The sequence below is a fragment of the Homo sapiens genome, chromosome 3, assembly GCF_000001405.40.
Source record: "Homo sapiens chromosome 3, GRCh38.p14 Primary Assembly".
Taxonomy (NCBI): Eukaryota; Metazoa; Chordata; class Mammalia; order Primates; family Hominidae; genus Homo; species Homo sapiens.
Window position 1 is genome coordinate 91,256,422 of NC_000003.12, and position 1,469 is coordinate 91,257,890.

The window sequence follows — 1,469 nt, forward strand, 5'->3', positions numbered from 1 at the left end:
ATACTTCTGTCTAGTTTTTATGTGAAGATATTTCCTTTCCTACTGTGGGCCTCAAACCGCTCTAAATATACACTTGCAAATTCCACAAGAAGAGTGTTTCAAAACTGCTCTATCAAAGGAACTTTAAACTCTGTAAGCTTAATGCAAGCATCACAAAACAGCTTCGGAGAATGAATCTGCCTAGTTTTTCTGTGAAGATATTTCTTTTTCTGCCATAGACCTCACACCGCTGTAAAAATCCACTTGGAAATTCTACAAAAAGAGTATTTCAAAACTCTTCTATCGAAAGGAAGTTTCAACTCCATGAGTTAAATGCACATATCACAAATAATTTTCTGAGGATTCTTCTTTCAAGTTTTATATGAAGAAATCCCGTTTCCAAAGATGGCCTCAGAAAAGTCCCAATAAACACTTGCAGATTCTACAAAAAGAGTTTTCCAAAACTGCTCTATCAAAAGAAAGGTTAAACTCTGTGAGTTGAAGGCACACATCACAAAGTAGTTTCTGAGAATCATTCTGTCTAGTTTTTCTATGAAGATATTGCCTTTTCCACCATAGGCCTCAAACGGCGCTAAAGATCCACTTGGAAATTCTACAAAAAGAGAGTTACAAGACTGCTCTATCAAAAGAAGGCTTCAACTCTGCGAGTTGCAAGCACACATCCCAAAGTAGTTTATGAGAATTCTTCTGTCTAGTTTTGTATGAAGAAGTCACGTTTGAAACGAAGACCACAAAGAGGCCCAAATATCCACTTGGAGATTCAACAAAAAGAGTTTTTCAAAACTGCTCCATCACGAGGAATATTCAACTCGGAGAGTTGAAGGCAGGTATCACAAAGTAGTTTCCGACAATGCTTCTGTCTAGATTTTATGTGAAGACATTCCCTTTTGTACCACAGGCCTGAAAGCACTCTAAATATAGAATTGCAAATTCCACAAAAAGAGTGTTTAAAACCGCTCGATCCAAAGAAAGGTTAATCTCTGTAAGCTGAATGCACAAATCACAAAGTAGCTTCAGAGAACAAATGTGTCTAGTTTTTCTGTGAAGACATTTTCTCTTCTACATAGGCCTGAAACCGCTCTAAATATTCACTTGGAAATTCTACAAGAAGAATATTTCAACACTCTTCTATCAAAAGGAAGGTTGAACTCTGAGAGTTAAATGCACACATCACAAAGAAGTTTCTGAGAATTCTTCTGCCAAGGTTTATATGAAGAAATCCCGTTTCCAATGAAGGCCTCAAGAAAGTCCAAATATTTACTTGCAGATTCTACAAAAAGAGTGTTTCATAACTGGTCTATCAAAAGAAAGGTTAAACTCAGTGAGTTGAACCCACACAACACAAAGTAGTGTCTGAGAATCATTCTGTCTAGTTTTCCTACAAATATATGGCCTTTTCTACCATAGGCCTCAAACGGCGCTAAATATCCACCTGGAAATTCTACAGAAACTGATTTTCAAAAGTGCTC

At 36.9% G+C, this 1,469-nt stretch overlaps 1 annotated feature.

Annotated features, from left to right (window-relative positions):
* Positions 1-1,469: part of a centromere (Linear centromere model derived predominantly from reads generated in PMID: 17803354. This region does not represent an actual centromere sequence, as long-range ordering of repeats and unmapped WGS contigs is not provided by the model. For details of model production, see http://arxiv.org/abs/1307.0035.) that runs on past both edges of the window.